This window comes from Homo sapiens, chromosome 2 (assembly GCF_000001405.40).
Source record: "Homo sapiens chromosome 2, GRCh38.p14 Primary Assembly".
NCBI lineage: Eukaryota > Metazoa > Chordata > Mammalia > Primates > Hominidae > Homo > Homo sapiens.
The window spans coordinates 6133601-6149918 of NC_000002.12; the positions used below are offsets into that span (position 1 = coordinate 6133601).

A 16318-nucleotide genomic window follows, 5' to 3' on the forward strand; every position below is an offset into this window, starting at 1 on the left:
CACAAACTGGGCCCATTTGTTGAGATCTAAAGCAAATTATGAATGGATGGCTAAAAAAATGCTTTTCTTTGTCTTGGCAAAACTTTGTTTTTAAGTTTTCAGGAAAATCTACATTACATTTGAAACAAAAACAAACAAAACCCCTCATAGTAATATCATCCAGTGGTAATGACACCAGTGTTGTAAGCCAGGAAGCCTCTGCTAAACCCTGGGTTTGTATTTAGTTATGCAAATATTTGTCAACACCTTAATGGTGCTTCCAGTTTCTCATCAGAAAATGGGCAAAGGAGGACACAGTGAGAAGACGGCCACTTACAAACCAGGAACTGGAGCCTTGCCAACACCTAATCTGCCCTTGGACTTCTCAGCCTCCAGAACCATGAGAAATAAATGGCTGTTGTTTATACGCTACCCAGTCTATGGTTGTCTGTTACAACAGCCCAAACTGACTAAGACAATAGCTAATGATGCTGACAAACGGACAAGACAGATAGATAAAATTCTCCTTCAGGGAGCCAAAAAAAAGCTGAATTTGTCAGCAGTCAAGCAACAGAAGGAAGCAGAGCACTAATATTACAACATTTAAACATTTTGACTTCGTTCAGGCTGAAGCCAGATAAACACCCTGGACTTTTCGGTTTCACAAAATCCCTTTGTTGACCTATGAGTTAGAGGAAGAAATGAGGTGAGAAGTCACCACATATCATTCTTAGGTCCAAACCAGCTTGATAAATCCTAGAACAGACTAACTTTAAAATGATTATTGGACTAGAAAGACTGATTCATTTCAAGATACATTAATTTAGCACCCACTGTGTACTATGTACTTATCATTAGGACAAAATCTCAGCTCTGGACAGCCATTCATCTTCAATGGACATTCACAAGTGAAGTGTAAATAATTCAGCAAGGCCTAGGTGAAATGCCTGATGTAAAGATCCATCTATATATTCAAATTTTACAAAAGTATGTTTCCCTTTTATCAACTTGCAGTTTTCCTCACAAAGCTATATTTCATAGCTGCCTAACTGTATACTGCATTCTGACACCCTTTTCAACAAATGGTGCTGCGATAACTGGCTAGCCACATGTAAGAAAATAAAACTGAATCCTCATCTCTCACCTTATGCAAACATCAACTCAAGATGGATTAAGGACTTAAACCTAAGACCTGAAATTATAAAAATTCTAGAAGATAACATTGGAAAAACCCTTCTAGACATTGGCTTAGGCAAGGATTTCATGACCAAAAATCCAAAAGCAATTGCAATAAAAACAAAGATAAATAGCTAAGACCTAATTAAACTAAAGGGCTTTTGCATGGCAAAAGGAACAGTCAGCAGAGTAAACAGAATTCACAGAGTGGGAGAAAATCTTCACAATCTGTACATCTGACAAATGAATAATATCCAGAATCTACAAAGAACTCAATCAAATCAGTAAGAAAAAAACAATCAATCCCATCAAAAAGTGGACTAAGGACATGAATAGACAATTCTCAAAAAAAGATAAACAATTGGCTAACAAACATACGTAGAAATGCTTAACATCACTAATGATCAGGGAAATGCAAATCAAAACCACAATGCAGTACCACCTTACTCCTGTGAGAATGACCATAATCAAAGAATCAAAAAACAGTAGGTTTTGGCATGGATGTGGTGATTAGGGAACACTTCTACACTGGTGATGGGAATGTAAACTAGTACAGCTACTGTGGAAAACAGCGTGGAGATTCCTTAAAGAACTAAAAGTAGAACTACCATTTGATCCAGCAATCCCACTACTGGGTATGTACCCAGAGGAAAAGAAGTCATTATTCAAAAAATATAGTGGAACATGCCTGGTTATAGCTGCACAATTCACAGTTGCAAAATAGTGGAACCAACCGAAAAGTCCACCAATCAATGAGTGGATAAAGAAACTCTGGTGTGTATATATATATATATATATATATATATATGATGGAATACTACTCAGCCATACAAAGGAATGAATTAACAGTATTTGCAATGACCTGGATGAGATTAGAGACTATTGTTCAAAATGAACTAACTCAGGAATGGAAAACTAAACATTGTATGTTCTCACTGATATGTGGGAGCTACAAGGGTGCAAAGGCATAAGAATGATACAGTGGACTTTGGGGACTTGGGAGGAAGGGTTGGAGCAGGGCGAGGAATAAAAGACAACAAATATGGTGCAGTGTATACTTCTCGGGTAATGGGTGCACCAGGTTCTCACATATCTCCACTAAAGAACTTATGTAACCAAATACCATCTGTACCCCAATAACTTATGGAAAAATAAAATGAAAAAACAAAGACACTGGAAGATAAAAAAGAAAATGGGTTAGGGATAGCTCAGATTAAATGAAGTAGTACAGGGAAAGCATTGAGAATAGTACCTGACTCAAAGTCAGTGCTCAGTAAATACTAAGTGTTATTATTACTGCTCAACTACTAGAAAAAGTCCAAAACTTCCATGAAACCTCATGGGATCACTGGGAATATGGAGGTGTGGGGGCTGAGTGAGAATTCTAAGATACAGAAGACTATGATTGCATATCAAATACATACATACTTAAGATATTCAAGTACACTTTATAACCTGGTTTGATGAATAATGTATTACCAAATGAACTAATTTAAGAAACACTTAAATGAAATGGATGTAAATGAACGTTCCCAAAATTTTGCAAAATGTCTTTTCAAGCCACTAGTGATTTTTTCTTAGTCCTCCATTTGGTCATAAATTTGCTTGTGCATGTAATGAGAATAGTTTAAAAAGGTAGTCTAAACATTGTCTCAAGTTCCAAAGGACTAAATACTTTATAAATTCACCTTTTATTCTGCATTAACTGCTGGTTAAATAATGTAAAATTCTGGCTAAAGGTTATAGTCAGTAGGTAAGAGTTGATAGGAAAGAAAAAAAAAGAAGTCCCAGAGTCATTAAAAATTATGCTTAGGGGTAAAAGTGTTTAAAAAGATACTTCAGAGTTTAGATATTCGTGGGCTCCCCCTTCCGCTTTTACTCCCTCTTTCCATCTTTCCCCCTCCCTTTCTCCTCTCCTTCCACTTTCTCCAAAGTATAAATCAGTTGCTGATATGGTTTGGCTCTGTCCCCACCCAAATCTCATCTTGAATTGTAGTTCCCTTAATCCCCATGTGTTGTGGGAGGAGGGATCCAGGGGGAAGTAACTGAATCATGGGAAAGGTTACCCTCATGTTGCTTATACTGTTCTCGTCGTAGTGAGTAAGTTCTCATGAGATCTGACGGTTTTATAAGGGGCTTCCCCCTTTGCTCAGCTCTCATTCTTCTTTTTCCTGCCTCCCTGTGAAGAAGAATTGTTTGCTTCCCCTTCCACCATGATTGTAAGTTTCCTGAGGCCTTCCCAGCCATGCTGAATTGTGAGTCAATTAAACCTCTTTCCTTTATAAATTACCTAGTCTCAGGTATGTCTTTATTAACAGCGTGAGAATAGACTAATACAGTTGCTAAGTGCTTTGGAAGCACTGCAAGGAACTACGGCTGGTAGAAAAGGCTTCACAGAGGAGGTGGCATCTGACCAGGGTTAATAATACATGACTACATTATTTTTCTACTTTAATATAAATCCTATTGTAATATATACTTTTTAGATGGCCACTAAGAAAAAGTATGTTTCTCCAATTAAATGCTAACACAGTGTCAACTTTAAAACACATTGGAAATCTGGGGAGACCTTAGCTGTTCAGATTCTCAAGGACAAGTTTTGGAGAGGAGACAGCTGCACAGAAGCAGAATCCCAAAAGCCTACAGAAGGTCCCCTCAAACCAACAGCTGAGCATAGATCAGCAAATGCATGTGAGGATACCAATCAAGGCAAAGGAATGAAGCACCAAAAGCATGAAGTTAACAGTTTCCAGTACTCACACACGGCCAGAGACAATGCCTGTTCCCACCAGCCAGGCAGGAAATCTCAAGATTCATAGTGCATTGGGTCAAGGACACGGAAGGTCATGCTTCAATAGGGAGGAATAATTGCTCTCCTCAGGGTGGTGCTCTGTTCTCATGTAACAAATCATAAAAGTATACCCATCCCAAAATTCATATTAAAGAGAAAAGGAATCAGAATTTTTAAAGACAAGAACTAAGTTAATGGACTATACCAGATTCAAGAATTATAAAGCTAGAGTAATCAAAGCAGTGTACAATTGGAGAAAAAAAACCACATACATCAATGGCAAAGAAAATAGTTCAGAAATTGATCCACATGTACACTGACAACTTATTTTTGACAAGGCTGCAAAGTCAAATCCATGGAGAACACATAGACTTTTAGACAAATAGTGGCGAGCAATTGCACATTACACGTAAAAAAATAAAATGAAAGCAAACTCGTTCTATGCCCAGATCACTCCATAATTAAAATTAAACCAAAATATATCATAGATTCACATGTAAACCCTAAAACTACAAAACTTCTTGAAAAAAACATAGACTTCCAGTTAGACAAGAATTTTTAGACAATAATTTATATATGATACGAAAAGCATGATAGATAGAAGAATACATTTAAAAACTTCTGCTCTTTGAAAGACGCTTTTAAGAGACTAAAAAGACATCACAAACAGGGAGAAACTATTGCAAAACATATCCGATCTAGGTCTTGTATCTCTAATATATAAAAAACTCTCAAAAATCAGCAATAAAAAATAACAAATTTAAAAATCATCAAAAATGGCTGGGCACAGTGGCTCACGCCTGTAATCCCAGAACTTTGGAAGGTTGGAAGGCCGAGGTGGGTGGAACACTTGAGGTCGGGAGTTTGAGACCGGCCTGGTCAACAGCGTGAAACTCTGAGTCTACTAAAAATACAAAAATGAGCTGGGTGTGTTGGCATGTGCCTATAATTTCAACTACTCAGGAGGCTGAGGCACGAGAATTGCTTGAACCCCAGAGGCAGTGGTTGCAGTGAGCCAAGATCAGGCCACTGCACTCCAGCCTGGATGACAGAGTGAGGCTCTGTCTCAAAAAAAAAAAAAAAAAAAAAAAAAAAAAATATATATATATATATATATACACACACACACACACACACACACACACAAATTAATTAATTAAAAAAGTCAAAAATATTTGTACAGGCATTTTGCCAAAGAAGATATTCTGATGGCAAATAAGTATATTAAAAGATGCTCAATATTATTAGTCATTAGAAAAACTCAAATTAAAAGTTTAAGAGGTGTCATGACATTAATTCTCACTCCATTTATTCATGTACTTTTCAGTTTCTCACAATGATATTTTCCATTTTTTTAATGTTGAAGTCCTAGACTTTTGCTAAACTTATTCCCAAGTACTTTACGATTTTTATTAATTTTATTTTAAATTATTTGACACTAGTATATATAAGTTATAGAAATCTTGCAATGGTATAGGTTTATGCTATAGTTTGGATATGATTTGTTAGTTCCCACCCAAAATCATGTTGAAGTTTGGTCCCCAGTGTGGCTGGGAGGTGGGGCCTGTTGGGAGGTGCTTGGGTCATGGAGGTGGATCTCTTATTAATGGCTTGGTGCCATTCTCAGGGAGTGAGTAAGTTCTTGCCCTGAAGACGTGTTCCTGTGGGAATGCACTAGCTCCTGAGAGTGTTATTAGAAAACCAGGATGACCTTTGAATTTTTTCTCTTCACTTGGGTTTGCTTCCCCTTTCCATCTAGCATGTGTCCTTCACCGGAAGCCAATGGTGCCATTCTTCTTCTACTTCCTGTGCTACAGGATTGTGAACTAAATAAGTCTCTTTTAAAAATATTGCCCAACCTCAGGTGTTCTGTTATAACAACACTAAATGAACTAAGACAATTCACTCCTTTCTTTACTTGAGTTTGTGTAGGCATATCTTACATAGACACACATACTAAACTCTACAACACAAAGCAACGATTTTGTATTTAAATAGTCATGTCTTTTTATACAAATTTATTGAATTCTAATTATATCGAAAGCAGGCAATTTGGTGAGTTTTGCCACATATATACATACATGTGAATCTACCAACACAATCAAGATTCTGAACATTTATGTAGTACCTAAACCGCTCCTTTTGGCCTCTTTGCAATCCACGTGTTCTTCCAGGCCTAACTTCTGGAAAATAGATGCCTGACTGCATCTATTTTTCTTCACTATAGATAGTTTCTATTTTGTTTGAATGTTGAATAAATGAAATTATACAGTGTTAATCCACATCTTCCAGGTCCAACTTCAGGAAAACACTGCATCTATTTTTTGTCACTATAGATAGTTTGTATTTTTTTTGAATATCTAATAGATGGAATTGTACAGTGTTTATTCTTTGCAGTTATGGTTATTTTACTTAGAATAATAATTTGAAGACTTGTCCTTGTACTTAGGTGTATCATTAGTTTCGCTTTTTCCCCTTAGTAGCATTTAATGTATTCTATGTGTGTCTTTACTATCACTTATTTATCCATTTTCCTGTTAGGAATGTTTGGCTTATTTCAGTGTTTGGCAAATGCAAACAAAGTTGTTTGCACAACTGTGAGCAGACTTTGTGGAGACATATGTTTTCCATTTTTTTGGAGGGGGGGAATGGCTAAGTTATATATGTTAGTCATTATGTTTAACTTTTTAAGAAACTGGTAAACTCTTGCTTAAATAACCATAGAAATTTTTAGGCCAAACTTTTTGTTATTGAGTGGACAGTTTTCAGTATAACTGAAATATAATGTTTATTTTTAATGTTGTTATTTCTTTGCAGATAATCTATATTTCAAACCAGCATATTCTAATAACGTTTTTTGGCCTGAACGTCCTACAATATCACTACAATGTGTACAGATGTTTATTTTATTTTATTCATCTTTTTTGGAATATGTTGATTTTCTTAACTCTGAAGATTGGTTTCTTCCATCAATTTTTGAAATAATCAGCCATTTGCTATTTGAGTATTTCTTTTATCTTATTATATTATTTCCCTTTGGTATTCTAACTAGGTTTGATTTGTGTTTTCCCATTTTAATCTCAATGATGTCCTTTAAGCCTTTTCTTTTTTTGTTGTTTCTCTCAATTCAATGTTTTATTTATTTGGATCTATAACTTCTTCGGAACTATCATCCTATTTACTAATTCTCTTTTCAGCTGGGTCTTATCTTGTTTAATCTTTCTATCACATCTTTAATGCTTAATATTACATATATTTTCAGATTGAATTTGGTTAAATTTTTGGAAACTTTAGAGGAATTCCTGATAATTTCTTATGCTTTTATCAAATTTTCAAAGCATTATTTTATTTTCTTGCCCAAATTTATGTACTTATTCTATGTTCTATAGCCAATTATTCTGGTATCTATCATTTTTGTGGCTCTAATTGTTATTATTTCCTTTCTGATATTTTCTCTTTCTGCATTTATTTGGAGTTTCTTGGTTATGAGTCCATGTTCTTTGAAATTTTATCTGAACTGTGTTAAGTGTGCTTCTCGGGAAAGGCTTTGTGTTCACTCTGTCAGGTGACTTGCGGCTCCATGTCTTACTTTGTTTCACATCTCCTATTTCTGATCATTGAAAGCTACAGTAGCATCAGGTCAGAAGGGATGGGCAAAAAACTCTGAGGCAAATGTCAGATCTAGGAATTCCTAATGGCCTAAAGTTTTATGTCATAGTGTATCTCCCCTCTTCCTGCCAAATATATTTACTTTTCAGCAAGTATGGTGTATTAGTCAGGGTTCTCTCAGAGGGACAGACTAATATATATATATATCCTATTAGTCTGTCCCTCTAAGAGAACCCTGACTACTAATACACTATCTATAGGATACCTATAGGAGATATATATATATATATATATATATATATATATATATATACTATTAGTTCTGTCCCTCTAAGAGAACCCTGACTAATACACTATACTTGTTGAAAAGTAAATACATTTGGCAGGAGGAGGAGGGATACACAATGACATATATATATATATCCTATTATAATACATATATCCTATTATATATATGAGGAGTTTAATTAAGATAAAACATAAGATATATATATACATATATATATATATAAAAGAGGAGTTTAATTAAGTATTAACTCACATGATCACAAGGTCCCACAATAGGCTGTAAGCTGAGGAGCAAGGAGAGCCAGTCCGAGTCCCAAAACCAAAGAACTTGGAGTCTGATGTTCAAGGGCAGGAAGAATTCAGCACAGGAGAAAGACATAGGCTGGGAGGCTAGGCCTATCTCATTGCTTCACGTTTTTCTGCCTGCTTTATATTTGCTGGTGGCTGATTAGATGGTGCCAACCCAGATTAAGGGTGGGTCTGCCTTCCCCAGCCCAGTGACACTAATGTTACTCTCCTTTGGCAACACCTTCACAGACACACCAAGGATCAATATTGCATCCTCCAATCCAATCAAGTTGACAATCAGTATTAACCCTCACATATGGCCATGTGTAAAACATAAATATAAATTTTTAATGCACCAATGGTTTTTTAACCATGTATTCCATTTTGTTACCAGAGAATAAAATTCTCATTTATTAAGTCAATATATTATTGAATAGACATCTCTTAGGTGTCTACAATAAGAAATGAATAAGGGAATTCTAATGCCCCAGGCCTCCTGGTAACACCTTCTAGACAAGGCGAGGCACATTATTTGGCCAGCGTAAAACTAACATAGAAGAGTATATACTTATATACATATACTATGACATATATACATTATATGAGCCACTTAAGAGAAGTTGGTGAAAGCTCACAGATATCCAATCAAAAAATCTTAATGGAGGGCTCTTCTGGAAGAGCCCAGTAGAGGGATGGAGAGTAAGAAAGCAGCATATGGTAGGGAATATAACTGACTTCAGGGTTAGGAGATCTGCTGCGTGGCCCTGCCCAACTTTCATGTTACTCTACGACCTTGGAAATAACATTTCCTTCTCTGGTTCTCAGTTTCTCCTCTACAGAAAGTGTTGAACAAGCTTGTCTTTAAGGTCCCTTCTCCTTCCAATATTTTATGGTATTAAAAGAAAGATAATCCTGTAAAATAGACTTGTATGTGACTCTCATGCTACTTCCATTTATTATTAGTTATGGAAACTTTGAAATTTTTCTTCCAAAAAGGAAGCTAATCCTGCATTGGTAAAGTGCTGCTTAGTGAGATTAAATTAAGGTTAAACCACTGGCTTACACCAGCAGAAAAAGAATCAGACTCAGAGAGAATGCCACACACTCCTACCCTAATTCATTCCAGCTTTGCCTGGAATTGAAGAAGAAAGGGCCAGGCCAAGAATTGAGAAGGTGATCTAAGGCCTGCAAAAGCACCAGCCAACTTGTTACAGATAACCAGACTAAAAATGTGCAGAAACAAAATATGTCATGGTTTCTAAGCCACTCTCATCTCACATCCATTGTCACAGATGGAAACAAGGTACTTCTCAGGATGTCTACAACTTCAGTAAAGAAGTGATCATGCACCCGTCTTTTACTGGATATGCTAAGAAATCAATAGCATGGGGTGTTTCCACACTATTTAGAACGAGAATTTAATGTTTTCTTATCTGTCATATGTAAAAATTGGACTACTTTAGATAAATTATAAGGTTTACTTATGTTTTAATGTAGAGTTCAATCTGTGTTGATACAAGACCTAAGGTTTAGTGATTGCTCAGGACCATACAGCCCTTCAGTGGCAGAAACTGGATTTGAATCCAGATCTGTTCATACTTCATATAGTATAAATGTGAAATATCTGAGAATTCTTCAATTATAGGCCCACATGGTTGTGTATGTGATCAACTGACATTCAAAATTATCAGAACACAATTAGGTCACAAAAATCTTGGCCACTTTTTGCCCAATTTTAAATATGTTATTTCACTCCCACTAAGCTATTGGTGCTACAGTTTGCTTAATCAAGTTGCTAGGAGCTTACAGTCATGCACAGAACATGCACAAACATACTAATGGTCTTAGAAATTCAGTCTTTTTGCTTTTAAATGATTTTTCTCTTAGATGATCATTTTTACAAAACAGAAGTAAGCAAAGTAGAAAACAAACTTGTAAGAAAAAGGTAAGTCACGGATTTGTAGTCAGACAAATCTTTTTTGTATTGCCAGTTCAGTGATCTGGAAAAATTGTTTACTTTCTATGGGACTCCTTATTTGTGGAACATAGACAATGAGAGCGATAGTTTTAGCTAACACTAGTGCAGGGGCCAAGTATAGCACCAGAAAAAATCTGAGATACTCACTAAAGTTAGTTGCCAGCTACTACTTTTTGCTGCAATAACTCTTCATAACACAAAACACAAAATGTAGTGTCTTAACACAATAGGCAGTTATTTAGCTCAGCAGTCTTCAAGTCAAAGACCTAGGCTGGGCTCAGCTGGGTGGTTCTCCTGGTCTTGGCTAAGCTTAACCACATGTCTGGCAGTCTGCCGAGTGTTGACTGATCTAGTATGGCCACTCTGGATGGCTGAGAAGCTTTAACTCTGTTCCACATGTCTCTCATCTCTAGAAGGTGAGCTCAAGCTTGTTCCACTATAGCAAGCATGTAGAAAGGCAAAGGTCTTGAGGCACATGATCACTTCCACTGCATTCTATTGGCCAAAGCTGGTCATATGACCATCAGAAGTCAAGGGGTAAGAAAGAAAATTTACTTATTTACTCAGAAGAACCACAAAGGGAAATAGCTCAGAGAACAGAAAAAGGGAGAAATAATGGATTGAGACCAATAACAAAATGAATCTACCTCTCTTCCCCTTTCTCTGTGTTTCCTGTGACTTAGTGTTGACAAAACAGTACTGTTCACTTTAATCATCCAGATGCACCAGCCATTTTGATCTGCCCATTACCCTAGTTTTCTACAAGTTTGGATGCACCTTAGGGAAAGTAATTTTTAATGTAACATTTTTAGAATTAAAGCTTTCCAAAAATTTGTATATGGTAAGAAAATAGAGAAAAAAAGGCAATCATCAGAATTTACCAAGGTTCTAAATTGCATATGTTATGTATTCATTTCAGAAAATCCAAATAGTTCCTTCAGTCTTCGATGGTCTAGTGACCTCTTCCAATGATTTTTTATAAGCATCATGTGTTATGACTCATTAGGTAGTTTAGAGATGGCAATTGCACATTCCTGTCCAGCGCCAGGCTACTTCTTGGCTATCGTGGCTCTCTTAGTTTGTTTTCCTGGCCTGTTGACAGTTCCCACTCCTCTGACTGAAGCAGGGTCTTCATAAGCCTTTCTTTATAGTAACCCCCTTTTAAAACATGTGACTTTTTTCGTTGGGTTTTTTTTTTTTTTTTTTTTTTTTTTTGCCTAATCAATTCACCTTAGATCTATGGTTGTAATTCCTGCCCCAGTTTTCCTCCCATCTGCTCCTATTTAATAGGATCCCAGCCTTTTACTCTCACTCACCCCGTTGTGCTTTCAACCCAGACACACTGTCCTCAGTTAGCGCATATTGAATGTGAAGGTTTGCACTGCCTGGGACACTTAGGAAGTGAAGTTTGCCCAGAAGACCTTCACATTCTCCAACGTCACAGTATTTTTCTCTTCTTCCACACCCAGTTCTATTTACCCACATGGTTTCATATACTTATTCCTGTACTCAGCCTTTTATTCATTCTTTCAATCCTGTTTTCCCAAATATCACTTTAGCTTGAGGACATTTGCCGTGTAGAACAGGAGAAGACATAGGAGGGGATTTAGGGCAACTTTGAATGGCAGAGCCTGGACTCGTGGTATTTCTATTCCTAGAGGCCTTTGTTTCCTCTTAGCTAAAAGACACTTAGTAAATCTTTAATCAATAAAGAAATAAGATCCATTTTCATGCCTGCATCATTGAGGAAATGTTTCATTAATGATTTCCCTACTTAGTTGTCATAATGATATGCAATGTCCTTCACTATTCTTAATATCCCTACCATGTCTTATTGTCGGTGACTTATTGACCCACTCAGTTGAGTATTTGACCCCATTCTTCTATACTAGCATAGCATCTAATTTAGTAAAACAAATTAAGTTTCTTAAAACAGTGTTATTGAGATATAAATAACATAGCTTATAATTCACCCACTTAAATTTTATAATTCAGTTGTTTCTAATATATTTACAGATACCTGCGACCATCACCACAGTCATTTTTAAAACATTTCATCACCTCAAAAACAAACCCCACACCTATCCTCCCATCCACTCAGCCTAAGCAATGACTAATCTATTTTCTGTTAAAATGGATTTCAAAAAATTAAGTTTCAAAGGCCACGTGTAAGAAAAAATGTAGTATAAATTGTGAAATTCCTTGAATTGTCTTTAAAATATATTAAAAAGACCAATATTTATATTCCAAATTATATAGTAACATAGTATTTATCAATAAATCCAACATAGACAGAATTTCCCCCAGGACTGGAAAAGACAGCTGTTTCTTCAAGTGACCATTACATAAATGAGTTGGCTTGTGTTTGAAAATCCTGCTTTAAAAATCATATTTTGATGTGGTAGAGACTCAGCTTGGAAAGATATCCATTTCCTGACAGGGCCACAGCCCCCAAGACTAACTGGGGAAGATAAGACTCCTGCAGTAGACTCCCTTGAGTCACCTAGTCAATGAAATGGCTAGGAGGATACCCATTAATGTCTCTCCTTTCCCCACTCCCTCCTATTCTTCTTTCTTCTCCTTTTCTTTTCTTTTTCATCCTATGCCAGCATGAGAAAATAGCTGAAGTTAATTGCATATATATTGGCTCCATAAAAGTTGATTCATCTAAGAACCAGATTGAACCCAAGTCAAACAAGACAGGCCCCTGCCTAGGACCTTTCTGAATTGAAGAAGGTGAAGTGAGGAAACCAGTTTTTCTCTGGTGACAGAGCTCTGAGATATGAGTTTTGGCATTTGCTAAAACCCACTTTTTCAACCTTTTTATGAAGCTACTTGGAGAGAATGAGGCTGACCTGGAAGGAGACATAGGCATGAGAGATGAGGAAAGGAGCCTGGTGACGTTGGAGCTTATCAGCACATTGCTCTCCCTTGTTATCTCAAATTTTCTCTATATTTCTGGAGGTCTGGTTGGGTTTCTGAACCTTGAGCATACCCCAAAATCTTTACTAATACAGAAGCACTAAGATAATAAAGTCTAGCACATGGAGTTTTTGAGAGGACTAGATAAGACACTGTAGGAAACCCAGAGGCCATCCTCTGCATGTTCCAAATCTTATGATGCTTCAGAGTTACTCCATCTTTAAGAAGGAAATTATAATGACTTGCAAACCTCATCTATGCATAGTGAAAAATTAAGCAATTTATTTAGTGTTTTCTTATTTCTTCACCTTCTGGGCTATGACCTGATTTCCTTCTCTAGAAAGGCCCTCTAAGTGTGTTAGTGGACACAAGGCATGGTGTCAGGACACTTCCCTCTCCCATCTCTTTGAGTGAGTAGAGGAAGGAAGTATCGCAACTTGGTCTCATCCAGAGTGAAACTATGCACTTCTCTCAACACATATGTATGCACATACACACATAAACACTCACATACACACAAATACATACACATGCATACAAACATACAATTCACGCTCACATACACATGCACATACACAGCCACATGAGTGCACACACAGCTCACAGACACACATGCACACACTTACACACATTTCACACACAAACATACACACAAAACACACACATGTAAACACACACAAGGCTGACACAGACATAAACACACTCAAAACTCACACAGACATAAACACAAAAACATACACACACATGCACACATACAATTCACACTCACATACACATGCACATACACAACCACATGAATGCACACACAGCTCACAGACACACATGCACACACTTACACACATTTCACACACAAACATACACACACAAAACACACATATGTAAACACACACAAGGCTGATACAGACATAAACACACTCAAAACTCACACAGACATAAACACAAAAACATACACACACATGCACACATACGTACACACACACAAACTACACATAGGCACACAAACACATACACAAATATACACACAACTCACACACAATACACATCCCATATACACACATGAACACCCACATACGTGCATGCACAGCCACAAACACACACATAAAACTCACACACATACACACAAACACATACAAACACATAAACCATACATAACACAGAAACATACATACACATACATACACACAACTCAATTAAACCCATATAAACACATATAGACAGATAAACACACACGTAGACACATAAACACATACACATAAACACATATGTGCATTTGTTCACAAAGACTCATTAATACCATACACATCAAATAAGGTTTTGTGGTTATCAACAAAAGGAACCAAGTCTTAGACATTTATGAGAAAAAGAAATTGTTTAGAAGAACATGGGGTAAACCAAACAGTCAGATGAGAAAGTGAACCACCAAGAACCATGTGATTCCACAAATCACGACTGAAGGAATCAATAGAAAATAGACATTTTGTAAACTTGCATCATTGGCTCAATATTCAAGGGACTGGCTGAGAAGTTCTGACTGAACCAAGCACTCTAGATATCTGAGAAACTTGTTCCTGACTGCAGAGATGGGCAGTAATGTCCAAAATGGGGTGCTGCACAATGAGGATTCCCAAGTCCATACACTGGGGTCCCAGAGGAAAGCTCAGAAATGGCTCTTTACATTCATGTATCTTTTAGATAAGAAAGACACTATACCTTACAGATAATTACTGCATGAACTGGTTTGGCATCCTCAGTCTTCCATATATCAGATAATTATGTATCATATGCTATATGGAAGGTAACTAGAAAAAGTTGTGAGGAGAGCTATTCTATGTAGGGGATTACTGTAGCACCCTCATTCGTTTAACTTTATCAAAATTGATTGATAAACGTTCCTTGATTTATGATGAATTACATCTCAATAAATCTATCGAAAATGGAAAATATTGGAAGTCAAAAATGCACTTAATAAACCTAACCTACCAAGCATCATAGCTTAGCCTAACCTCCCTTAAATGTGCTCAGAATACTTACATTAGCCTAAAGTTGGGCAAAATCATGTAACACAAAGCCTATTTTATAATAAAATGTTTAATATCTCATGTAACTTGTGGAATACTGCAATGAAAGTGAAAAGCAATGGTTTCACATCGCTGTAAAGTCACAAAATTGTTTAAGTCTCGAGTTGGGGACCATCTGTACTGGCTTATTTTTTACTTATTTGTTTATGAATTTAGAGATGATATTCTCTAATATCATCTGAATATTTTCAAAAAAAGGACAACTGTTTTGGAAGATTACTTCGGAAAAGTATTAGATTTAGAATTGTACTAATAATGCAAGGACAAGTGACCCAGGATGAGAATGGCAGGGCTGGGACTTCTGCTTCTATTGCAAGCACTTTCTGAGTCCATTTGAAAGCAAGCCAATGACTACCAGATCCATGCCTCCCAGCAGCTGTCCACAGGAATGCAAACAGACTCTATTCCTTCAGAGCAGAGATGACATTTTAATGATGAGTGCAGAAGCAACTGTGTTTTTTTAATCATTTCTATTTGGTAAGAATATTATATAAACAGGTGTTCAGAAATATTTCCATCACTGTAATTTTATTGCCAAAAGCAATATAATTCACCTGTTTAAACAAAAAAAAAAAACCTAAAAACCTCATTTGTGCATTTCTAGAAATCTTGAAAACATAGTTTCTAATTTTTTATAAAAAATTTCAATCCAGAGTTTCAGTGGCATTATAATCCATCTGTTAATAATAGAAACATGTAATATCTTCCAATTAGTTTGGAGAACAACTGATTGACATTGTAAAAGATGAAAACTTGCAGGACAAATTTTAACACAATTTTTAGTTAATTGGCATATGGGATTTAACGCTATCATAATTTAATAAGCACAAACACGGATTCTTTCTGAATATCATTGTGAGATGCCTTTTACAGCCATTACAGACACTAAAAATCAGCAAATTGAACTGATCTTAGATTCACATGTTCAAAGTGTTGTAATAGGAAATGTTAAACCAAGTTTTCAGATCTAAGAAACCATCTTTATTCACATTTATTTCATAAAAGCGTCGTGCTATTAAGTGATTATTTTAGATTATTGCTTTACCTCAACTTTTACTTTTTTCTTTTGCGTATTTCAGTAAATATGTGGCTATCAATAAATTTCTACTAAAAAGCCATGAAAGTACGTATTTTTAAAAATCAATTTTCAAAAAATATCTCTTTGAAAAAGATGTGGAAAAAATCCTGCAAACCTTAATCTAGAGAAAG

At 36.1% G+C, this 16318-nt stretch overlaps 1 annotated feature.

Moving 5' to 3' along the window:
- Positions 15275-15509: a silencer, noted in NCBI's record as "fragment chr2:6289007-6289241 (GRCh37/hg19 assembly coordinates)". NCBI's record gives its function as "represses an EF-1alpha promoter that drives an FKBP-Casp9 reporter gene in an ReSE screen in HepG2 liver carcinoma cells {active_cell/tissue: HepG2}" and the evidence as "EXISTENCE:reporter gene assay evidence [ECO:0000049][PMID:32094911]".